General features: G+C 42.2%; 2 protein-coding genes across 51 annotated transcripts in view, besides 1 other annotated feature; both read left to right on the forward strand.

Annotated features, from left to right (window-relative positions):
* The window catches only part of MGA (MAX dimerization protein MGA), a 148,717-nt gene extending 136,808 nt beyond the window's left edge, over window positions 1-11,909 (forward strand). For all 46 annotated transcript variants that reach the window (XM_017022029.3, XM_047432300.1, XM_047432302.1 and 43 more), the window contains 5 exons: window positions 2,292-2,498; window positions 3,708-3,819; window positions 4,098-4,331; window positions 6,855-7,031; window positions 7,973-11,909. In XM_017022029.3, the coding sequence (XP_016877518.1) occupies window positions 2,292-2,498; window positions 3,708-3,819; window positions 4,098-4,331; window positions 6,855-7,031; window positions 7,973-9,249 (2,007 nt within the window). In that variant the 3' untranslated portion in view covers window positions 9,250-11,909. The remainder of the gene's footprint in view (window positions 1-2,291; window positions 2,499-3,707; window positions 3,820-4,097; window positions 4,332-6,854; window positions 7,032-7,972) is intronic.
* Window positions 15,900-15,949: an enhancer, noted in NCBI's record as "active region_9285". NCBI's record gives its function as "activates an Ori minimal core promoter by ATAC-STARR-seq in GM12878 lymphoblastoid cells {active_cell/tissue: GM12878}" and the evidence as "EXISTENCE:reporter gene assay evidence [ECO:0000049][PMID:35858748]".
* Window positions 16,453-25,767, forward strand: part of MAPKBP1 (mitogen-activated protein kinase binding protein 1) — a 53,372-nt gene continuing 44,057 nt past the window's right edge. For all 5 annotated transcript variants that reach the window (NR_049761.2, NR_049762.2, NM_001128608.2 and 2 more), the window contains exons 1-2: window positions 16,453-16,579; window positions 17,136-17,358. Coding sequence is in view for 3 of the 5 variants with exons in the window: in NM_001128608.2 (NP_001122080.1) it covers window positions 17,245-17,358 (114 nt within the window). In the remaining 2 variants the exon portion in view is untranslated. The remainder of the gene's footprint in view (window positions 16,580-17,135; window positions 17,359-25,767) is intronic.

Raw genomic sequence — 25,767 nt, forward strand, 5'->3', positions numbered from 1 at the left:
TCTCCTCAGAGGATAGACTAATGTAGAGGAGTTAAAAATGGATATGAAATTTATGAGAATATATGTGGTTATTTGAAAACTGTTCTTGTAATGGTCTGATGTAAAACAAGGTGCCATTCTTTCTTGCTTGGGCTCATGATTTTAAGTGATTTAAAAAACTATGCTCTGCAAAATGGCTAGCAGTTAGGGATCCATGAAAAAATAAACCTTTAATTTTCTTAATCTTTTTGGTTTATATCATAGTAACATAATTAAGCAGGGTTTTTTGTTTATCCTAACCAACAGTAGGCATGGAGGAGAGTTTGGTTTGTTTAAATTGTTTTCCACTTGTTTTTCTATCTTAATTTAAAAGATTAAAAAAAGACAATGATGGGGGTTGGGTTGAAGTAGAGGGTGGCATTTGGTTCCTTTAAAAAATCATAGTGCAGTTTGTTTGGTTTTGATCTGATTTGGGACTTATATGATACAGCGTATTTGCATGGTTGTAATTATTTGCATATATCATTATATTTGGCTTTTAAAAATTTATTCTGAAGCATTTTTCAGATATAACAAGAATTTTCATAATAGCTTATTTACATAATTCATTGTTTTGTACCCAAATAATTACATGCAAATTCTTGCTGCACTTTGCTATATTTAATGTTTATATTGCTTTTCTTTCTGTCTTCTTGGCTGTTTTATTCTCCCATTCTATGTTAATGCATAATGGGTTTAACTTTAGAAAGGCAGTGGCTTTTACATTAGAGTTTTTGGTTACGGTCAGAGTTACGATTAAGCAAACAGTGTCAGAAAAAGAGACAATTAGAAACATCAGAGGGAAAAATCACAAAACCAAGAAACTGCACAGGACAGGAAATATTATTCACTTTGTATGAGTAGTGTTTATAATGTCATAATAGTTAATGTTGATGCTTTTTTAACGTTTATAACCTGTGATTAAAATATAGAAGACTTAATTTCAGTCTTGAAAATGTGAGAATACAAATGACAAATTGGGAGGTGAGAGAGGGAAGAAGAAATAAAGGGAAGGATACAGGTGCTGATACCCTCATTTTACAAAGTAGAAAGGCAAGATAGATTGTTTATTGTTGATGAAATAAGAAATTAAGGTAGAATTCAAGTTGCTAAGGGATCAGTAGAACAGCTAAAAGTAGTGATGTAACTATATTGGGATGATAAGATGGTAAGACATAAGAGTGATGTGAGCTAAATCCTCTTCTGCATAGCAAGAAGTCAATAGATAGCATTGAAAATGGAAAAAAATAAGCTTATGTTACTATTTTTGGTTTAGGATATAGATTTAAGAACTAGAAGAAGCTGCTAAAAGAATTAAAAAGTGATTGTTTCTGAGGATCCAGGTACAAGTTCAGGGCACAGTTGCTTTTCATTATAAGCTTCTTAATATGTGTGTGTGTGTGTGTGTGTGTGTATTTTTTTTTTTTTTTTTTTGTAAAGATGAAGTCTTACTGTGTTGCCTGTGTTAGTCTCAAACTCCTGGCTTCAAGTGATCCCCTACCTTGGCGTCCAAAAGTGCTGGAAATTACAGGTGTGAGCCACTGTGCCTGGCCAGCCTTTTCATATATTTTAAGTCCTATATGCAAAGATTGTAATAGAATAAATAAGATAGAGAAAGGAGGCTTTAAGCCTTTCTGGGGATCAAGAAGGACTTTCCTGAAAAAGTGCAGAGTTTGAGTTTTAAGTGTTAAGTTTTAAATGTTAAGTTTTAAATGTTATGGGGGTTTAGGTAAGAGGTGGGATAAGTAATCTAGGTACAGGTAAAAAGCCTGTGTAATGTCAGGGAGGTGTGGGATTGTGTAGTATATTTTGGGAATTTCTAGCAGATAGGAATGGTTGGAGAGAAAGGTGATTTAGAAGAGTGGCAGTTGATTTTTTACCAGATTGAGGAGGATCTTACAGTATTTTTTGAAAAACATTTAATGTAATTTGTATCATGAAAACAAGTTTTAGTAATACAATAAATTACTTAAGCTCTTTCAGATCTCGTACGCCTGTAACATATACAATTTCTTCCTCATTTGAAAATCACTGAAATTTGAACTGAGAGCTGGTAAGATCACTTTAGCATGTATTAGAAATTACACTGTTGGCATTGTAAGAGTTAGATTTGAAGGAAGGATAGACTGGTAGTAAGATGACCAATTGAGAGGCTGTTACAACAGTCCAGACAAAAGGTAATGAGTGCCTGAAATAGGGCAGTGTCATTTGAAACAGAGTAAGAGGGCCAACTACATGTTCAAGATGTTTAGGAGGCAATCTTGTTTGGACAGGCTCCACCAATTCCTCTAAAACTGAAGCCTGATTACTGGAGTGACAAACTACAGAAAGAAGCAGAAGCGTTTGCTTATTATCGCCGGACACACACTGCCAATGAGCGGCGGCGGCGTGGTGAAATGAGGGATCTCTTTGAGAAATTAAAGATCACATTGGGATTACTTCATTCTTCCAAGGTTTCCAAAAGTCTCATTCTTACTCGAGTAAGTGTTCTGTGTAAATGACAGTAAGAGCTTGACTAAGAGATTCTTACCGATGATATGAGAAAGATAATCCACTGACATATAAGGGAGATTGAAATAGAGCTGCTTAAATGTAACAGATGAATATGGACTAGTGAATGCCCAGTAAATCCCTTAGGGGGAAAATCATTATGCTAAGTCACAGTAGGTTTTCATTGAAAGTCAGATTTTTTTTTTTTTCTTTTGAGACGGAGTTTTGCTCTTGTTGCCCAGGCTGGAGTACAATGGCACGATCTTGGCTCACCGCAACCTTTGCCTCATGGGTTCAAGCGATTCTCTTGCCTCAGCCTCCTGAGTAGTTGGGATTTCAGGCTTGCGCCACCACACCTGGCTAATTTTGTATTTTTAGTAGATTAGTAGTAATTTTGTATTTTGTATTTTTAGTAGAGACGGGGTTTCTCTATGTTGGTCAGGCTAGTCTTGAACTCCCGACCTCCAGTGATCCGCCCACCTCAGCCTCCCAAAGTGCTGGGATTACTGGCATGAGCCACTGCACCCGGGCAAAAGTCAGGTTCTTTATTGGCACAGCTATCCTTTCTTCAGATAGAGTCAGAAACTCTGGTTAGCCATGTTGACCACATTCTCGTTACATTGGTGTTCTTGATAGCACTTAGTACAGGTTATCACAGCATAAAGCACAGCATAAGTGATATTTTAATATGCTTAACAGTTGACAGTCATTTTAAAAGAAAACCTGAAATATTCAAGGGAGCAGAAGTTTTAATTTTGCATGTAGAATATCTAAAGTAATTTCGTTTAAACAGTTTTTAAGTAGAAGGTGGAGGAGTACAGGATAAGCATTCATATCCCTCTAGAGCAGTTATTTCAACCAGATTTTGGTTAGACTAGGAGTTGATCTTAAAGTTGATTATTAAAATCTAAGCAGAGCACAGGTGTTTTGTATCTCCTCGCAGTGGTGGAATACCTACTACCATTCAGTGATGCTCTTTGGAAATAATCATGGTCACATTCCTTAAAAGTGTAAGCCAGAAATCCTCTTACAGTTTAACAAAAAATAATTTCTGAAACATCAACAATTGTTAATGGAATTTAAAAATTCTCTTAAGATGTCAGATTAAGTTTTTTTTCATTAGAGAAATTGTATAGGCCTTAGCTGTGTTTAAAGAAAGAGTGGATCAATTTTCAATAATACCACTATTTGTATTCTAGGCCTTCAGTGAAATTCAGGGACTAACAGATCAGGCAGACAAATTGATAGGACAGAAAAATCTCCTGACTCGAAAACGGAATATTCTGATACGGAAAGTATCGTCTCTTTCAGGTGAGATAAGTAAATAATCTCTGGTAAAGAGCATAATTATAGCTTTATCAAGAAGAAATCCTCAGTAGATCTTTCAGATACTTAATTGAAAGCTTGGCTCCCACAGTTTACAGCACAGTTATCCTTTGACTGGGTGGTGGGTTGTTTCTTGTGAATTGTAATCACCTTACTTTCCATAGTTTTTGGGAATATAGTTAAAGCAACTAGATTTCTGTTGACTCTGTTTCTCATTATGTGGCGTAATGCTGAAAGTGCTAATGTATTCTGTTAACTTACAGGTAAGACAGAAGAAGTGGTCCTGAAGAAGCTAGAGTATATTTATGCAAAACAGCAAGCACTAGAGGCACAAAAAAGAAAAAAGAAGATGGGATCAGATGAGTTTGACATATCTCCCAGAATTAGCAAACAGCAGGAAGGATCTTCTGCATCATCTGTAGATCTTGGACAGATGTTTATAAATAACAGGAGGGGGAAACCTTTGATTCTTTCCAGAAAAAAAGACCAGGCCACAGGTAGGAGGGACATTCTTCGCTTTCCTTAATGTAGATATACATCAGTTGACTTTAGTGGACTGACCACCTTCTCTTGTCCACATTTTTAGTTTTGTGTGGTTTTTTTTTTTTTTTTTTTTTTTTTTTTTTGGAGACAGCTCTGTCGCCCAGGCTGCAGTTGCAGTGATGTGATCTCAGCTCATTGCAACCTCCACCTCCCAGGTTCAAGCGATTATCTGCTTCAGCCTCCTGAGTAGCTGGGACTACAGCGAGCACCACCATGCCCAATTTGTTTTTTTAATTTTTTAGTAGAGATGGGATTTTGCCCTGTTGGCCAGGCTAGTCTCAAACTCTTGACCTCAAGTGATCCACCCGCCTTGGCCTCCCAAAGTGCTGGGATTACAGGTGTGAGCAACCACACCCAGCCCACAGTTTTAGTTTTAATTAAATGAATTAAAGATGGGTTGTATAAAAAGTAGAATATTAACTACATTCGATTTTGGTTTCTGGTTGTAATACACACTCATGCAAATCCTGAGAAGTTACCAGTCCTGGTAGCATATTAGTCTATAGTCATGTATTTTTAATGAGTAGTTTTTTAAACTTATCTTTTCAGACTTATACTTGACTTCGTGATTTCCCTGCAGTTCTACTGATGGGTTTAAGAAGTTGGGTCTAGCTGAGACCAATAAATGGGAAATTTTTTGTAAAATTTAATTTTGTCAAATCAGGCTCTATTTTTCTTTCTTCCTTTTTTTTTTTTTTTTTTTTTTTTTGAGACAGAGTCTTGCTCTGTTGCCCGGGCTGGAGTGCAGTGGCGCGATCTTGGCTCACTGCAAGCTCCACCTCCTGGGTTCATGCCATTCTCCTGCCTCAGCCTCCCCAGTAGCTAGGACTATAGGCGCCTGCCACTACACCCGGCTAATTTTTTTTGTATTTTTAGTAGAGACGGGGTTTCACCGTGTTAGCCAGGATGGTCTCGATCTCCTGACCTCGTGATCCGCCCACCTCGGCCTCCCAAAGTGCTGGGATTACAGGCGTGAGCCACTGCGCCTGGCCATCAGGCTCTATTTTTCATCAGATCACTTACTTATTAATACATTACTATTAAGAAACAGTAGGCCGGATGCGGTGGCTCACGCCTGTAATCCCAGAACTTTGGGAGGCTGAGGCGGGCAGATCACCTGAGGTTGGGAGTTTGAGACTAGCCTGACTAACATGGAGAAACCCTGTCTCTACTAAAAATACAAAATTAGCCAGGTGTGGTGGCTCATGCCTGTAATCTCAGCTATTTAGGAGGCTGAGGCAGGAGAATCACTTTAACCCGGAAGGTGGAAGTTGTGGTGAGCTGAGATCACACCATTGCATTCCAGCCTGGGCAACAAGCACGAAACTCTGTCTGAAACAAAACAAAACAAAACAAAACAAAAACCCCAAAGTAAATTAGTCTTAACTTCTTATTACCATCTTGATTTTGGAAGTAAAGTTATATTGATTTTATGTGTTACTTATATTCTTAGAGAATGGTATATCTGGCTGGGCGCAGTGGCTCATGCCTGTAATCCCACCCCTTAGGGAGGCAGAGGCAGGAGGATTGCTTGCACTCAGGAATTTGAGACCAGCCTTGGGCAACATGGTGAAACCCTGTCTCTACTAAAAATACCAAAATTAGCCGGATGTGGTGGTGCACACCTGTAGTCCCAGCTACTTGGGAGGCTGAGGCAGGAGAATCACTTGAACCCGGGTGGCGGAGGCTGCAGTGAGCTGAAATCACACCACTGTGCTCTAGCCTGTGTGACAGAGTGAGACTCCATCTCAAAAAAAATTAAAAAAAAAAATGGTATATTCTTTTTTACTCTTTAAATGTTTGGATAGCCCAGTGTATGAGCCAAAAAAAATCTGGTGTGGGTATTTTTTTTTTTTTTTTTTTGAGACGGAGTCTCGCTCTGTTGCCCAGGGTAGAGTGCGGTGGCGCAATCTAGGCTCACTGCCAGCTCCGCCTCCCAGGTTCACGCCATTCTTCTGCCTCAGCCTGCCGTGTAGCTGGGACTACAGGCGCCCGCCACCACGCCTGGCTAATTTTTTGTATTTTTAGTAGAGATGGGGTTTCACCGTGTTAGCCAGGATGGTCTTGATCTCCTGACCTCGTGATCCACCTGCCTCGGCTTCCCAAAGTGCTGGGATTACAGGCGTCAGCCACCGCACTTGGCTGTTTTGTTTTGAGAAGGGCCTCACTCTGTAGCTCAGGCTGGAGTGCAGTGTCTCGCTTGCAGCCTTGACCTCCTGGGCTTAAGCAATTCTCCCACCTCAGCCTTCCTAGTAGCTGGGACCACAGGTGCACACCACCACACCCGCCTAATTTAAAAAAATTTTTCTTGTAGAGATGGAGATGGGGTCTCACCATGTTTCCCAGGCTGGTCTTGAACTCCTGGGCTCAAGTGATCTGCCTGCCTCAGCCTCCCAAAGTGCTGGGATTACAGGCATGAGCCACCACACCCAGCTGAATGCCTTTTATCTATAACTAATTTCTGATCTTTCTTACAGAAAATACCTCACCCTTGAACACTCCACACACCTCTGCCAACCTTGTGATGACTCCGCAAGGGCAATTGCTCACCCTAAAAGGTCCCCTATTCTCAGGACCAGTGGTAGCTGTTTCTCCTGATCTCTTAGAATCTGATCTTAAGCCTCAAGTTGCCGGTAGTGCTGTGGCTCTACCAGGTATGTTGTAAGTGTTGTCCTCTATGGGAAGTGATAAAGTTATCCCTAACATCTCACGGTGACCAAGGAAGGCTTTGGATGTGTTCTGTAATGATAAAGAGCTATTCTGTTGGCATTTGCCTTGGTAAGAGGTGGCCCTATTTTTAGAACACATTTGGCTTGAGCTGTGGTACTGTTTGGTGTGTTTTACACCTGGTATTGGGAACCATTTTGTGAACACTAGTAATTTCTAAGAGGAAGAATAAAAAAGATATCAGAGGGAAAGGAAGATGTTAAATGATCATGGTCTTAGGTCTTGGTGTTGATAAATATTTGTCACTTTTTGTGGTACTCAGAGATGATAACAGTCCTGCATTATTAGCCCCATTCACTTTGAGCACTACTCTGTTTTGGGGCAAAGGGTAAAGTTGAAAGAGAAGCCTCACTTGGGTGATTAGGTTCCAGGCAACTAAATTTCTATTAAGATGAAAGGGTCTCTTTAGTAATATTAGGATCCTGGTTACTTTATTGCCATTGCCAGCCAAAATTCCTTGTCTCTACCTGTTGCCAAACTCACTCTGGAGGACTCATCTTTCCTGGTTCCCATGCTGCCTTTAGGGCTTCATTTTCTGCGCTAAGTAGCAGTTAATTAGGTGAACAGAATCAAGATGCATTTCTGCCTTAGGAGAAGAATTAACTTGGGGAGCATTTCTATAAAATAATTAAATGGAACTTTAAAAAATGGTGGAAAGAGCCTTTTGGTTGGATTTTAGTTGAGATTTTTCTTGTTGGGTTAGGTCAATAATTTGAAGAACTGATATTTCTTTCATCTTTTTGATAAAAGTAGAGTGCTGAATTTAGACTACAAATCCCTAAGATGGTTATATGATATGACAGAGAGAAAGAGAGGTGTTAACACTAGATCTAAATGAATTTTTCTTTTTTTAATTTTTGTTTTTCAGAAAATGACGACTTATTTATGATGCCACGAATTGTTAATGTGACATCATTGGCCACAGAGGGAGGTTTGGTAGATATGGGTGGCAGCAAATATCCTCATGAAGTTCCTGATAGCAAGCCATCTGACCATCTGAAAGACACCGTCAGGAATGAAGATAATTCCTTAGAGGATAAGGGTAGAATCTCTTCCAGAGGAAACAGAGATGGCAGAGTGACGTTGGGTCCAACGCAGGTTTTTCTGGCAAACAAAGATTCTGGTTATCCACAAATAGTTGACGTTTCCAATATGCAGAAAGCACAAGAGTTCTTACCTAAAAAGATTTCTGGTGATATGAGAGGGATTCAGTATAAATGGAAAGAGAGTGAATCAAGAGGGGAGAGAGTGAAGTCAAAGGATTCTTCATTTCATAAATTAAAGATGAAAGATCTCAAGGACTCAAGCATAGAGATGGAACTGAGGAAAGTAACATCAGCTATAGAGGAAGCAGCTCTTGATTCCAGTGAACTGCTGACTAACATGGAAGATGAGGATGATACTGATGAGACACTGACTTCACTGCTCAATGAAATTGCCTTTCTTAATCAACAACTAAATGATGACTCTGTTGGCCTGGCTGAACTACCCAGCTCTATGGATACAGAGTTCCCAGGGGATGCTCGGCGGGCTTTTATTAGTAAGGTTCCTCCTGGAAGCAGAGCAACTTTCCAGGTTGAGCACTTGGGAACTGGTTTGAAAGAGTTGCCTGATGTTCAAGGGGAGAGTGACTCTATCAGTCCCCTCCTCTTGCACTTGGAAGACGATGACTTTTCTGAGAATGAAAAACAACTTGCAGAACCAGCCTCTGAGCCAGATGTCCTTAAGATTGTTATTGACTCTGAAATAAAGGATTCCCTCCTTTCCAACAAGAAAGCTATTGATGGAGGGAAGAATACTTCTGGCCTCCCTGCAGAGCCCGAAAGTGTGTCCTCACCCCCCACCCTACACATGAAGACTGGCTTGGAGAACAGCAACAGCACAGACACTTTGTGGAGGCCTATGCCAAAGTTGGCCCCTCTAGGTTTAAAAGTAGCTAATCCTTCCAGTGATGCAGATGGTCAGAGTCTCAAGGTGATGCCTTGTTTGGCACCTATAGCTGCCAAAGTTGGGTCAGTTGGACACAAAATGAACTTAACAGGGAATGACCAGGAAGGCCGGGAAAGCAAGGTGATGCCTACATTGGCACCTGTTGTGGCTAAATTGGGCAACTCGGGGGCCTCACCAAGTTCTGCAGGGAAATGAACTTACTTGTCCTTAAGCAGAAGCCAGGCTGTGAGGGGAAATAGATCTCACCTCCTTTCTCTGCAGGCATCTGTTTGTTTGTGTCTTAGAACTTGGATCCTTGACTTCAATGATGCAGTGGATAATGATGGGAGAAAGGGGGTAGGGTGCTGACCCTGGTATAAGAAGTACTCTGAAATTCTGATCATGTTAAAATGTGTTACCTCACTTGTGGTGCTGGGTCCCCTCATCCTCTCTAAGAAGATGTGATCCATTACTGAACATGAGGTGCCCCTCTTACCCAAGGAATTTATAACATGACTCTGGCTCCACAGTGGTTTCTAGTTCTTCCCCCACAAGCGAAAGAGCTGTTTGCAACTTTGGAGTTGCTGTAGACTGAACTGTAGCTTGTAGCTGTTGAATTAAGTCCAAAATCTAAGGAATGCGATGGACTTGTGCAAAGGGATCCAGAAGAGACACTTTTTAGTTGATGTTTCAAGAATAGGGAGAGAGAGGATGGGTACCATGGAATACCAAAGTGAAGGACTTTGTGTCATTCAGTAAAATTTTCTTTTTTCATATCCTAAGTAGCTCCCATTCCCTCACCTTTTCAATCAGAATTAACAAATTCAAGCCTTCAGTAAAGTAGGGATGCTTTTAACTTTTATTATTAATTATTTTGAGATCTTAAAAAAATAGTAGTTCTCCCTTATTATTTTTGTGGGCATTGAAAAGCTCATTTCACAGTACCAGAGATTTTTACTGGGAGTATATATTTTGGAGGTAGGCATAGAGGGAGCCCTACCCCTTCCACAAATTACGTTACTCAAGAGACAGCTAAAATAAAATGCATTATCTCCCCAGACCAGAGACAGTGGCCAAAATAAAAAATCATGGGGCTGGAAATTTCCCAAATCAAACCAGCCTCCTGGTGCTTGAAGGTTTCATTCACTATTACCTGCACAGGATGTAAAGAAAAGTCACAGTAGGCACTCTTTACCAGGGAAATAAGGCAGTATTTGAATCACAAGATATATTTTTTATCTGCAACCATGGATCCAATGATCTGTAGAGCTTTTTCACTCATTAACTGTCAGGATATGAAGGACTGACAGTCTGTAAAGATATTTATATTTTTGTATAGTTGTTTTCATAGATTTCTCAAAGGCTGAAGTTTTCAACCTAGAAGATGAGATTTGTATTGAGTATAGAAATGATGTTTCCTATCTAGTTTGTAAATAATCATGGTGCACTTGAGGGGTCTCTTGGAAACTCCTAGGGGGTCAAGAATCACTATTCTGAAACTGTATAGACTGGGATTTAGCTGCTGCATTTTGCCTTTCTTAAATAATTATATTTTGGAATGTAACCCCTGTTCTGTCTTCATTGACAGGATTTGCTTGTGTTGTTAAAACACTAACACAAGAGCTTCCAGTGCCTGGGCCGTGCCTAGGTGATGCTATTTCTTCTATATCTCCTGTCTTCTTTATCCCAAATCCCACTCAGCATATCTTCAGACCTAGGTTGTAAGACCAACTTTGGATTGGATCTAGCCAGTGAATTATTATTTCCATGGTTGGTTCCCTTTCTGTTAACTCTGGTAATCAACAGATTGAAAACGGTGGAAGAACTTCTGAAAATTGCAGTGGGAGCAAATTCTTGTTGGTTTTGTGCTGCTTGCCTTTCTAGATCTGCTCATCAGCACTTAACCTTCCCTCCTCTAAAGGTTACTAAAGAAGCCTGAAGTAGGTAAAGAGTGCTCCTCAGCTTCTTATCCTTCCACTCTTTACCCAGCAGATTTCATTCAATGCCTTAGCCAAGGAGTCCAGCACCTGTCTCCCCTGCTAATAATTGTCCTTAGAGATGCTAGTACTTTAATCCAGGTATAGCAGTTTCCCGTTATTTTCTTGCTTGTCGTTCCCCTACATTTCCTCCTGATTTCCCAAGACTCTCTTTGTGGCTTTTGAGGGTCAGCCAAGGAGCAGGCAAGTGAGTGAACAATCCTCAGGAAAAGAAGGACCATTTTAGCTTAACACTTCCTTTTTTTTTTTTTTTTTTTTAAGAAGAATATAGGTAAACAGGTAATGATTCTTGATTGGAGATACCATTTGACTCTTGATGAGAGTTGTACGAAGATGGAAATGAGGGATGATTCCAGGCGTTTTAGGGGGAAGGCTGCAGATACCATTCTAACCCCCAAGATACTGTGTTCTCAAGACCTCTTAGAACTAGGTGTTGTCAGGGATAATTTGAGGAGGGCTTAGTCTTCAGAACAATCCTGCAGTCTTGACAGAAATCTAAAATCTCCAAAAACTCCTACCCTTTAACCTTACCCTAGGGGGAACTGATCTATGAATATTACATGTGTGATTATGAAAGGTGAAGTTGAGTGAGAGGAGTTGAGGAACGTGGAAGACAGTGAGCTCTCACCCTAACACTATAAGAAGCATGATCTCAATAGACCAATAATTCACCTTTTTATACATCTGTAAATAAATGGAATGTTTTTAAGAATATAATTATGTCAGATTTAGCATTTTCTTTTATATATTAAATATATATATCTTTCCTTTTCTGCTTTCGAAAAGTGACTATTTTTTTAGAAATCTAAGAACAGAAGTTTGGTGATTGAAAGGTAGAATATATAAACCTGAAATAAAGCAGTTAAAACAATTAAAGCAGAACTTGGTGTTGGGAGGTTTGTGCCAACTTGGAGTGGAGAATTCTAATTCCCTAAGACATATTTGAGAGAGGTGCCACTGAAGTGGTTTTATCATAGGAATCCTTTCCTTTTCTCTAAGTTTCTGATATGCCATTTGGGGGAGGTTTTCGATGTTCTAATCCTTGTAGCATGTTTTACATGGAGGCTTCAAAATTGTGTGCAACCTGATGGCAAGTATTTGTTTTAGAAGTCATTCTAAAATCATTCTGGTGTCAGTATGAGCAAGGCAGTTCACCTGTTAACCTTGGGGAGTAAAGGTACACAAACACAGTCTTTTAGTGGTAAAGGACAGTAGGTGTTCTTAAGGGAAGATATGTTAAAGAGTTTGACAGTTAACAAAAACGTTTAAAGGAATCCTTTAGACATCCAACTACTCCTATCTATTAAGGTCACTAACAGATCAAGTCCAGTTATATAAGCTTCATACAAATTGTTCACTTTGTGTGATTTTATAGTACATACAATAGTTTTTTCGTGGAATTACAGATGAAATACCTGATGCTAGGCTCTTCTATAACAAGTTTGAAAATGTTTTGAACACACAAGAAAGGCAGACAATCCATATGTTATTTTTGGTTTAGTGGTTTAGATAATTTTTTTTCTAACTATACTGGTTGAGATATTTGAAATCAAATAGGGTGATGCACTTTAAAAACGGGTCTAGAAAATAGTGACAGCCCTTGTCCCTCACTCCAGAATTAAACAACAACAAACCATACACAGCACATTTTCCAGGTACTTTTATAGAGAATGACTGATAACCAAGAATCAGAATACATTTCTTGCACAAAACTGTTGGTTTTGAAGAAGGTGCTGTAAAGGCATCAGTACTTCATGTCACTGTATTATCACTAATGAAATTTTTATTTTTATTTTTTTTGAGGCAGAGTCTCACTCTGTCGCCCAGGCTGGAGTGCAGTGGTGCCGTCTTGGCTCACTGCAAGCTCTGCCTCCCGGGTTTACGCCATTGTCCTGCCTCAGCCTCCGGAGTAGCTGGGACTACAGGCGCCCGACACTGTGCCCGGCTAATTTTTTTGTATTTTTTTGTAGAGACAGGGTTTCACCATGTTAGCCAGGATGGTCTCAATCTCCTGACCTTGTGATCCGCCCGCCTCGGCCTCCCAAAGTGCTGGGATTACAGGCGTGAGCCACTGCGCCCGGCCTACTAATGAAATTTTACATGGACACAAATATCTAGGTGCAGGGAAAATTAAAGCTGAGATATTCAGACTCACTGCCAGTTGGAGGAAAAAAATCAGTTATAACGCATTTTTTGGAATAGAGGGAAATAATTTGATAAGTACAACTTTTTGTTTGAGGTGTAGCTAATGTTAGACATGACTGAGCTGTTCTACACATAAGTGTTGAATAGTGATGGTGGTGCATTAAGAGGATGGGAAGACTATGGGATGAGTTGGAAATTTTGAGACAAATCTAAACTCTACTAATTTCTATTGTTGTAAACTCTGCTGGTAGAAAAGATATTAAGTAGGAAAGCAGTCTTGGAAGCATGGTTTTGAGATCCATTGTGTTTCCAACTGCAATCATTGATCTCAGCTGTTGCACAGTGCCTTTGCATGTAAAGGTGCTCAATAAATATTTGAATTGATGAGCAAATGTTTAGACTGTTTCCCAGGAACTTATACCTTATTTGCATGTTATGCCTAGGGTGAATTTTAAAATTTGATCTAATGAGTATAGTGCTAAACAGACAACTATATAACGTCTATTCCCCAGACATCTAGAATTTCAGAAGCTGGCAAACACTATGTATAGATGTTTAGGACATATAAAAGTAGAATAAAGTGTTAAATAGTGTATGGATGATGAAATACTTATGAAGAGTTAACTGCATTTTGGAGGATTGGGATGGCAAGTAGAGTCATGCGTCACTTAATGATGGGGATACGTTCTGAGAAATGCACCTTGGGTGGTTTTGTTCTGCAAACATCATAGAGTGTACTGTACTTAAACAAACCTAGATGGTGTTGCTTAACCACACACCTAGGCTGTGTTGCTCCTAGGCTACAACTCTGTACAGCATGTTAACTGCACTGAATATCATAGGCAGTTGTAACACGTGGTGTTTGTGTGTCTACACATAGGAAAGGTATGGTAAAAATATGATATTATAATTTAATGGGATCATGTGGTCATTGAAATGTATACAGTGCATGACTGTAAATCTGAGTGGAGAAAAGTGAATAATGCTTCTGTTCACATTAGACCTGGGACTGTTATTTTCTGAGGAATTAATGAAGAATGGGAATAGCCTATATAGCTTATTCCTATATTGGTATCTCAAAGGCAGTGTAGTACCTAGACAATAAAAGTTGGACTGAATTGTGAAGAATTAAAAATGTGTGGGCCGGGCATGGTGGCTCACGCCTGTAATCCTGGCACTTTGGGAGGCCAAGGCAGGCGGATCACGAGGTCAGGAGATCGAGACCTCCTGGCCAACATGGTGAAACCCCATCTTTACTAAAAATACAAAAATTAACTGGGTGTGGTGGCGCGTGCCTGTAATCCCAGCTACTCGGGAGGCTGAGGCAAGAGAATGGCTTGAAACCAGGAGTCGGAGGTTGCAGTGAGCTGAGATCGCCACTGCAGTCCAGTCTGGGGACAGAGCAAGACTCTGTTTAAAAAAAAAAAAAAAAAAAAAAAAAAAGCGTGGCTTTGGCCTAAGACTGGAAGTACCCAGATTCCAGACTTAAGAAATCCTCATTAAAATGCTTTCAGTTGTTTTTCATGAAAGAAATGACCAGTGATACTTTGTAAACCATTTATCTGGCCATGAGTGATCAGGTGAGAAAACCGTTAGCGGACACCAGAATGATCTGGAGAGGATTAGGGACGGCTCTTGTGGGCACATTTTTACTCTAGTTTCATGGGTGGAGATGGCATCTGCCGTGGTCTGCAGCATGCAAGTAAAGACACCAGGTGGCACCATTTATTAGCTTTCAATCCCATGGAGAGGTCCCATCATGTAACTACCAAGAGGTTGAAGGAACCAACTACCTCTTGCATATTGTAGCTAATGGTTCTTGCCTTCTTCTTCCAGACTTGGGAAATAAATTTGAAAATCGTATTTTCTGTTTCATAATATTTGCAGTGCATGGTTGAAGGGAAGAAGGCCACGTGCTATTGCCAGTTGGTCTCCAGGAGGTGACATCCATCATCTCCATGTCAACTTGTGAGCTTTACAAATCTAATTTTCAGTACGTGGCTACAGTATACACAAGAAAATATGTGCTTTGCCACTTGGCTCTAAAGGCTCACCGTTGTACACAAGCAATGAGTTTAGGGGTTCTTCCCTCTTGTTATCACATGTCATCTCCACAGGGTTTCAAAAGATCTGGATAGGGTGAGACAGACACACCAGTGTAGTACTCCCTTGGGTCCCTTGTCTTTGGCTTAGGCTTTTTCATAAGGTATAATAATTTGTTAGAGGTTCTTCCCTCTTGCAGACACATGTCATCTCCACAGGGATTCAAAAGATCTGGATAGGGTGAGACGGACACACCAGTGTACTATTCCCTTGGGACCCAAGTCTCTGGCTTAGGCTTTTTCATAAGGTGATTTCTTGTGGTAGTAGTCAAGTGGAGAATACTCAGGAAATACTATTTCATGTAACATTTCCGTGTATTCCCTCTGCCTCCCCCGACATGAGTTAGAAAACTACCCCTCGATCTAGTATCAGCAAGCTCGACAGTGACCTCAGCAAGGAACAGCCCTAGATAAAAGGATTCATAAGTAAATGGAATGAGGAAAAGATCTGGAGCAACAAAGTCCTGGTCAGCTTTAGGTGAGGAAGCACAATGGGATGTTGGAGGCTAAAGAAGCCATGAAACCTAAAGTATTATAACATAGCATATTCACTTCTCTTTCCCCCGCACGCCCAAAGCTCTGTTCAAGGCCACCCTTTCCCCTTTCATGATGACCAGGTTGCCCAGTGCAAAAATACTGTTCTTAGCTATTAAATTGCATTACTCAGAATAATCCTTTCCACGTTGAGTCTACGTGCCGGACTGGCTGCGAGCAGAAACTACTTCAGTCGCTTTAAATCTCAACACTTGTGGTCGCTGGGAGCAGAGCTTTTAGGCTGTAGCTCAGTCTTGTAATTCTGAGCTAGGAGTTTCAGCTACGGTCCCTCGGGCCTATCAGATGACAACCTTAACACCCTGGAGGCGTGGTTATCGTCTTGGGGCTCTGGGAAGTGCAGTTCCATGGGGGACCAGGCCTGATAATACCATAAAAGGCTTGGTTCTCTCAATTCTGAAGCCATGTTCTGTTGACCTTCCTCTAAAAGCGGTACCCGCAATTGTGCGGATTCCGTGGTTCCCTAGTCCCAAGCCGTCTGCTTCCTGGGCCCTTTCATTGGCTCCGCCCCCGTAAACCTTGCTCGTCCACTCTGGAAGCGCTCTCCTGACTACAGGCCGCGCCCCTCGCGTCGGCTCCGCCCACCCAGCCCGCGGCTTGGCCCAGGCGGTAGTTCGCGTTTTGAGCCGATCGTGCCACCATAGCTCCTGCTGCTGCCTCTACCGCTGCGGCTACCGCGGCGGAGCTGAAATTGCCGAACGCGATGCCCGAGGGCGCTGTGAGCGGGGTGGCCTTAGCTCGCCGAGGCTGGTGAGGCTGGGCCCGAACGGGGGCGCTGACGAGTAGCAGGGGCCTCAGAGGCGGGTGAAAGATAAAGGTCCAGAGCCGCTGTGGAGGGCGGAGAGCGAGCTCTGGAGGATAGGGAGTGGGGGAGGGAGGCTCCCGTGGCAGAACGAGTTGTGGGCTACGGCGAGCCCCGCCGCGTCCCCGCCGGCGCTAGCGCAGGTGTCCAGGCCTGCGGAAATCCCTGGTGGTCTCGGCGGCCTCCTCCCTTGGACACTACAGTTGCCATGGGAACAGTTGGGCATTAACGGGAACCAGATCGTCCACGAGACCAACTGGGGCCCATCCCATCCATCTCGCCAGTTAAACGCCTCTGGCGGGCGTGGGCCTGGCATTTCTTCGTGGCTTAGGATTTTCCCCCCCTTTTTCGTGAGCCTTTCCTTCCGACGTTGTAAGAAACTGTGCAGGGCTAGAAGGTGGGGATGAGGGAAATGGTGAGAGCAATACCCAGAGGTAAAAGCTGCAGACTTCGCTAGGCAGAAGGTAAGACACTGTGATACTAAGGTGGCTTCTGCCATCTCAGGTCAGTGAGAGGGCATACTGGGAAGCCCTCTGGAGTGGGAAGACAGTGCCGCTGTTGAGACAAGACCCAGGACTGGGCCGGGGACTGTCCCAAAGGGTTTCTCGTCATAATGGCTGTGGAAGGGTCAACCATTACCAGCCGGATCAAGAATCTGTTGAGATCTCCATCCATCAAACTGCGCAGGAGTAAGGCAGGAAACCGACGAGAGGACCTCAGCTCCAAGGTGAGTCCTGTTGGGATCCACCTCTTTCCAAACCCACCCTCTCCTGCTCCATGTTCCTCGTTAACCTTCCTGTTTCTTGGGAAAGATAACTAGAAGCCCTTGTTGACTCTAAAGGATCACATATGATCTCTGCAGGCAATGATTTGGTTTTAGGTTGAAGGAAAAAGAGCAGCAGGGGTGGGCATGCTGAGATTCATCCATGAGAAAAGGTGAATAGTAGGAAGACCACCTGGGTTCAATTGTGGCCTCACTATACACTAAGCATGTGCTTGGGAAGCCAGTTGATATGCTATGACTCAGTTTCCCTTCTTGGGAGAGGACAGTAGGAACACATACCTTGTGAAGGGCTAAGCTGTGACTAATGTAGCTGCAGGTGTTAACGTAACAGCTGGGGTTATGTAAGACTGTAGTGGCAGAAAGAAATATGCTAAAACACCTAGTCAGAGTTACTGGCTTGGTAATTGCTCTTGCCTACGGTGAAAACAAATTTTTTTTGTCTCTTCAAGAGGCTAACTGGAGCCTTTTGGCTTCTTAGGAATAACATGCAAGAAGCCAGATATCTGTCAGCAAAACAGTTCTGGATGGCCCTTGAGCATTGCTTATCTCATTCACTATATGCCAAGAGCCACATCCCACTCAGCTGCAGATGATCCTCAGAGGCAAAGTTCCTTTCCATCGCTTCACTTGTCTGTGTTTTGGTCCTTATGCTTTTTCAACTAAATAAACCCCACAACTTTGGGAATCCAGAAGTAGTCGACATTTATTTAATCCCTTGAGGGAATCCAGGGCTTTACTCCCACAGGATCAGATCAGATTTTGTGTCTTATTAGTAGCCTGTAAACCCAATAGGGTTGTGAGGTACAAGGTTGTTACAGGGAGAGGCATTTGAGACCACAGCATTGTATTGCTTTGCCTGTATCTCTTCAGTGATGAGTAAATCCCATGAGGAATGATTTAGAATGCCACTGTACAAATGGCAGGGTTCTGGGAGGACTTAGTTCAGCCCTGTGTTCCTTAGCAGAACTTTGAGTAGATTTGGTAAGAAGGTGAAGAGCTTTCCTGTATATTTCAGCAGAAGTTGTGTTGAATCACAGTTTGCTACAAGGTTTTGTGATGGTGGACATTGTGACCCTTCCAAGGTCTCTTATTCATCATTGTTTCTATTCTCCTGAGGCAGGCAAAGAAGCCTGAAATGTAGAAATTGCCTTAGATATGACTCTGTTCATTCTTAATACTGCAAGTGCTCTTATTCTTGGCTGGTAGCTTGGCAGTGACCAGCACTGTTAGAGCAATCTTCTCCAATCTTTGGCCTCTTTTTCTGGCCAGGAATGATATATGTAGTAGAAACATATAATGAGAGTTTAGCCTTCATTGTTAATTCTTACTGTAATTTTGGTCTGGAATCCAGAAAGTATAGTTGCCATTCTTTAAGACTTCCAATATCATCCATTATTAATGCATTTAACAAGTGTTTATTGAGTGCCTATGAAGTGTGCAATCAGTGATGGGTAAAACATTACCCTTGCCATCAAAGAGCTTATGGCTAGTCAGACATGTAAACAATTAAAACACGGTGTGGTAAGTGCTGCTGTAGAAGTATGTGTACGTTGTTAATGGAAGCACAGGGGAGGCGACCTAAGTCAGTTCAGAGGAATTAGGAAAGGCTTCACAGGCCAGGCATGGTGGCTCACCCCTGTAATCCCAGCACTTTGGGAGGCCAAGGCGGATGGATCACTAGGTCAGGAGTTCGAAACCAGCCTGGTCAAGATGGTGAAACCTCATCTCTACTAAAAATACAAAAATTAGCCGGGCGTGGTGGTGCATGTCTGTAATCCCAGCTACTCGGGAGGCTGAGGCAGGAGACTCGCCTGAACCCGGGAGGCTGAGGTTGCAGTGAGCTCAGATCCTGCCAGTGCACTCTAGCCTGGGTAACAGAGCAAGACTCCGTCTCAAAAAAAAAAAAAAAAGGAAAGGCTTCACAGAGGAAGGGATGCTTGAACTGTGAGTCCTAAGGCAGGTGGAGAAGAGCTCTCCAGGAAAACAGTGGAAAAGGGGCATCCCTGGCAAGACCATTTACCATTCCCTGTTTAAAATAGGAATTCAGTGCTTCAGACTGCTTTAGATGGCTTTGTCTGTCCTGAAGCTGTGTATGAAAGAAATACTTAGCTGAAGTTGAATGACCCTTGAATGGTCTGGCAGCAAAATGACTGGTGCATATCTTTAGCACCCAAGAGGAGTAGCTGTCTTTGTGCGCCCAGGACCCTAGAGATGCCAGACTCCCCACACTCCTTAGTAAAAGGTCTCTACCTGAGATTATTCTAAAAGCCTGCCTTGTGATTACTCTAGTGTATTAAGCTCTGTGAGTTGCTCTAACATGTGGTGGCTGTGAGTAATCATGATAACAGGAAATTTGTGATTCATGGATAGCTAATTCTCAAATAAAATTTGAAGACAAAAAGGTACATGCCCCTTTTGGGGGGCAAAGAAGGAAATGTCAGAAAGCTTTTATGCAGCTCTTACTTCAGATGGCCTCCTGCTTTGAATTATACTGTTCTTTCTATCTAAAGTAGCCTTCTCCTTTACACCAAATTGTACACTTATTTTTAGGTCCAATTCTGTATTTATCAGAGCCACAGGGCTTTCTGTGACTAGTCCCCCACCTTGAAACCAATATCTTATTGTTATTTTATGTATGTCTTCATTTCCTAAGGATCGGGGTCATGCTCTTTATTTCCTTTACATCACACCGTTTAGGACAGTGTAAGATAGGCAGTAAGTACTAAAAAAAATAAATGAGACTAATTTAAAGATGTCAAATATAGTGCGGGATAAACTTGGACATCCAGGTGAATAAAATAATCAGGAGGAATTTATGACCTCTTTAGAAGAGAGATCAAAACTACGATTAATAAAATGGTGACAAAGAAGTAGAGATGCAGCCTAATTAGGTGTGAAGAACATAAGAGAGAAGAAGTCCACGTATGCAGAAAGCAGTGCTCAGTAAAGGGTTCTTAATTCAGGGGAGACCTAGTTAAAAATATGGCTAAAAGCTGGTGTGAGAGAGCCAGTGGAGGTGGAGATTTAAGTTACATCAAAGAGTAGATGAGTGCTGAGATTTTTATTAAGCTTTTTCAGAGGGAGGGGAGTCTCTTCAGTGGAGTACATTGGAAAAGACTGATTTAAAGTTTTATGCTAAATCAGCTTAGTCTTGGTGAAGTGTGACTTGAAGTTATCAGTAAATACCCAAGTTCAAATCCTGTAGACTTGTCATTTCCTGCCTCTCATCTCTAAGTTGGGCTGTGTTTTCCTTAAGAAGCAAATGTATGTGTTCTTGATAGCTAACCCTCCTCCTCTGAAAGTTTCTGAAAGATTTTTATGTGGAGGGAGCTGGGCTTGTTTTCAAGGACAAAGGATAGAAATGGACCAAAGCCCAGCAGGCAAGATTTAAGTTAGGGTTACAAAAGGATTGTCTGTGCTGGAGGGTTGCTAGATTTTTAAAAAGTAACTGAAGGAGGTATTGAGATCGTCCTCCTCCTTAAGAGCCATTAATCTGATCTAGGTTATATTATTCCTTCTGGAAACAATGGGTAAGATGACTTTCTTCTAGTTGTGTTTTTTTAATTGTAAATCTAATTCTTCTTTCTCTATTTGTTTCCCCAAGTTTTTTTCCTGTATAGTTGTGTGGTGGTACTTCGAGCCTTTTGAGAAGTGACTCTAAGAAGAGTTTGGTTGGGTGGGTTTCATGAAGGAGAAAAAGTGGCAATACTCTAATTTCAGCTTTTGCTCAGTGTTTGAACGCATATATGATTTGGTATTGGGGAAACATACTCATTTTTTTCGAGACGGAGTCTTGCTCTGTTGCCCAGGCTGGAGTACAGTGGCGTGATCTCGGCTCACTGCAAACTCTGCCTCCCGGGTTCAAGCGATTCTCCTGCCTCAGCCTCCTGAGTAGCTGGGATTACAGGCGCGTGCCACCACGCCGGGCTAATTTTTTTATTTTTAGTAGAAACGGTGTTTCACCATGTTGGTCAGGCTGGTCTCAAACTCCTGACCTCGTGATCTGCCTGCCTCAGCCTCCCAAAGTGCTGGGATTACAGGTATGAGCCACCACGCCCGGCCAGTTATTTTTGTTTTTTGTAGAGACAGAGTCTTACGATGTTGCTCAGGCTGGTCTCAAACTTCTGGCCTCAAGGGCTCCTCCTGCCACAGCCTCCCAAAGTGCTGGGATTACAGGCATGAGCCACCATGCCCAGCCCCTGCCTTTCTGAGTAGCTGGGACTAGTGGTGCTTGCCTCTGCGCCAGGCTCCAGTCATTTCTTAGTGTTCAATACACACGCTCTGAGTTCTCCACATAGAATAGATGACTAAGAGTGGATGTCCCTGTGGCCAGCAGCTATGCCCCTCACCAGCCTTTGTGAATGACCTTCAAAGCTCTTGTTGAATTTTCTGTCTCTGAGGTCTCTTGAAATAAGGCTTGTGAAGTGTCTTGAGATCCTCACAACAGGTGGTATACAATGAAAAATGTCAATGTTCTCCTAGTTTTGTTTCTTTGATCACCATTTCATCCCTCCTTCCGGTGCCTGCAGCTGCCCTCAGCCTTCAAAGTGATTCTCACTGGAGAGAGAGGATGCTTCTCTCCCTGGACCCAACACCTCTTCATTTACTGTCTAAAAATAGCCCAGCCTCTTCAGGCTGGGAGTTGTCTTTCGAAACCTCCTCTCACCTACTTGGCCTCACTCATTTCAAAGTGGAAGAGCACTACTGCTTTCCAAGTTTTTCTCTCTTTCAGTTTGCAATTTAGGGCAGGTTCCCTTCTTGGATTTGAGTCAATGTCTTATTTCCTGCTGGTATTTTGAATGTCTTTCATTTGTCACCTGTGTATTTTCATTTCTTGACTGATGAAAAAACAGGTAGAAATGAGGCTTCAGCCTGACATCTGTAACCTCCCCACCAACCCTCTGAGTCTGAAGTTGGGCTTGATGCTGTTATCACTGACCCTTTGTTTGGAGAAAACAGTCCAAGGTTTGAAATTGGGGCTATGTTTATTCAAACTAAGCTTCTCTGAGCACATGGTCTGTCCCACTCATCCTCAGAGTATCCGTTGGTTTTACTTCATGTTCAGACTGCAGTGTTGTTAAAGAAATAAAGCTACAGTGTTTTCAGAAGGATTTGTTATATTATACTTCATGTTCCCACTGCTCCAGGCTAAGCGTCTCCTCTGGGCTCCATTGTTTAATGCAGGACAAAGCCAGGTTTTCTGGCAGCTTCCTTTTCATAGCAATTCTCAGTAGAGGTATAGAATGAGACCTGCCTACCTTCTTGGGTGTTTATTACCCCATTTGTGGATTTTACTTTAACTTCTGTTACCTTAAAAAAAAAAAAAAAAGTTGGTGAGGAAGGCAAGAAATAAAAGTGAGTATGACAGCCAGACTGGGTAGTGTGGATTTTTAGCGTTGGTATTTTTGAATGTCCAGATTTTCCAAATCCTTCCTTCCTTCCTTTCAACAGTTATAGCAACAGGTCCAGTGCTTCTTCATTGGTCACATTATTTTCCTCTGGTTTTGAAGGACACTTAACAGAAGAATGAGTTTACAGTATGGATAGCTCCTCCTAGATTTCAAGGGAGTAAATTCCCCCCTCTCATTTTGTCACAATGTTTGCAATGCTTTTTTTTTGCTTTTTTTTTTTTCCTTTTTTCTTTTTTGAGACAGAGTCTCACTCTGTCACCTAGGCTGAAGTGCAGTGGCGTGATCTCAGCTCACTGCAACCTCCACCTCCCGGGTTCAAGTGATTCTCTTGCCTCAGCCTCCCGAGTAGCTGGGATTACAGGCATGTGCCACCATGCCTGGCTACTTTTTGTTTTTTCAGTAGAGACAGGATTTCAACATGTTGGCCAGGCTGGTCTCGAACTCCTGACCTCAAGTGATCTGCCTGCCTCGGCCTCCAAAAGTGTGCAATGCTTTTTTTGGTTGCTTCCCTATTTGGTAAAACAATGCTGTGGGTTTTTTTGTTTTTTTTTTTTTCTTGCTGGGATTTTAAAGTTTATATGCCTTATCTCTCCTCCTAAAACTGTAATGAAGCTAAAGATATTTTCCTTTCCCTGCTATGCCGGGCATGGTGGTGCACACCTATAGCCCCAGCATCTTAGGAGGCTGAGGCGGGATGATTGCTCGAGCCCAGGAGTTTGAGGCTGCAGTGAGCTATGATGGCACCACTGTATTCCAGCCTGGGCAACAGAGTGAGACCCCATCTTAAAAACAAACAAAAACTGTCTGCCCCTCTGTTTATAATTGAGATTTTAATTTACTTGAAGATCTTAGAACAACCCTTTGTGAAACCATATGGCTGATTTTTTTTTTTCCACTTTGTCAAATGTTCTTTTGGAGAAATCCTGAGAAGAAAGTTTATTTGGTGGTTCAGGATTTGAGTGTTGCTCCTTATTTATCACAGTTCTCATCAGCCTTTGAGACCCATCTTCCTTTAGTGGCTCTTCTGGTCTTTTCTTCATAAGTTTGGCTGATGCTGTTACAGATGCTAGCACTTAAGAAAACAAGACTTTAAAAAATTATGAAATACAGGCCGGGCGCAGTGGCTCATGCCTGTAATCCTAGCATTTTGGGAGGCCGAGGCGGGCGGATCATGAGGTCAGGAGATCGAGACCATCCTGGCTAACACGGTGAAACCCTGTCTCTACTAAAAATACAAAAAAAAAAAAAAAAAAAATTAGCTGGGCGTGGTGGCGGGCGCCTGTAGGCCCAGCTACTCGCGAGGCTGAGGCAGGAGAATGGTGTGAACTCGGGATGCGGAGCTTGCAGTGAGCTGAGATCGCGCCACTGCCCTCCAGCCTGGGAGATAGCGAGGCTCTGTCTCAAAAAAAAAAAAAAAAAATTATGAAATACAACAGACATTAAGAGAGTGTACAAATATAATATTGTATTATAAATAATGATAAATGATTTCCCCGTGTAACCACTGCCCAAGTGAAAAAATAGAACAATGGTAAGGTATTGGCAGTTTCTGAGGGACGTGATGCGAATGTTGTCATCAGGGTGGGTGAGGATGTACTAGGCACTGTGCTAAGCATTTTACATATACTATCTTATTCAAGTTTTACAGAAGTCTACCATAAATACTATTACCACCCCATTTTGTAGTTAAGAAAACTAATGATAAGAGAGGTCAGGTGAGTAGCTGGTAGTTACATAGCCAGTGAGTGGCTAAGCAAGAATTCAAATAGAGGCTTTCTGAACTCCAGGGCCCACACTTAATCTTTATTCTGCATTCCTCCCAGGGAGCCTTCATGTGCACAGCATGGCACTGACTGCAGAAGTGTGCCTAGTATTGCCATAGTCAAAGGGCACATCATGCACTCAGCTTAGAAAAAGGGACAGTTCCCAAAGAGGGGGAAAAAAAAGGGACAGTTCCTTAAAAAAAAAATACTTTGTCCCCAACATTCCTTATAAAAGTCAATTTAATGAATTTCTCAGACTATTATTTTAGATCCATCACTCAGTAACCCTTGTCCATCTATATCCTTACTCCTCTTCCCACCTCCAGCTCCAGATTTCCTGAACTTTTGTTTCTGCTGCCTGTTCTTGTCAGAAACTGTGCAACCTTGGTTCTGTGGGTATGTGAATGTCAGGTTGGCAGGGTGCAGCTGTGTGGTTCCAGATGACCAGAAGCCACAAGCGGTTGCTGCTTCTCTCTTGGGATTGGTTGGGGAGTGAAGGGCAGACCGACGGATGCCTTGGTTGTTTTTGTGTGTGGGTATCATGGGGCTTCAAACTGTTGTGCTCTTTGTTGGCTGGTTGATTTTGTAGCTCATGCTCTTGAGGTGCTCTTTCAGGTCTCTCCCTGTTTTCCTCTGAATTCCACTGTTTTGTTATCTCTTGTTAGCATACAACTGACCTTGTTTTTGAAGCTGTGGAGAGTAGCTGGTGGAAATACCTCTTCCAGTTGGGAAAAAATGGACTTAAAATGTCCCATGTCCAGGCTGACCTGGATGATGACAGTTGGTTGATGAGTTAATTTGAACATGAGCAGAAATGAGGTCACTTGCCTGCCTGACTCCATGTGGCCATGCTGGCTCCAGGTTGCAAAGTTCTTTGAGCAAGTACCTTGTCTTGCCTAATCTCGAATGTCTGTTCTTTTTATTTCTTATCTCAAATAGGCATTGTGATAACATTATAGGTGCAAAAGTATGAGGTCTAAAGGCCTCTGCTTCCCTGTACTCCCTCAGTTTGTCCTGAGCAGAGGGAGCCCCAAGCCAGATGGATTGGATGGAGAACAGCCCATAGGCAGTTTGCAGTTGTGGGCGCGTAGCTGGGAGCATGCTCAGAAACTGATTCTTGGCCTCACGCCTATAATCCCAGCACTTTGGGAGGCCGAGGCGGGTGGATCACGAGATCA

The sequence above is a fragment of the Homo sapiens genome, chromosome 15, assembly GCF_000001405.40.
Source record: "Homo sapiens chromosome 15, GRCh38.p14 Primary Assembly".
Taxonomy (NCBI): Eukaryota; Metazoa; Chordata; class Mammalia; order Primates; family Hominidae; genus Homo; species Homo sapiens.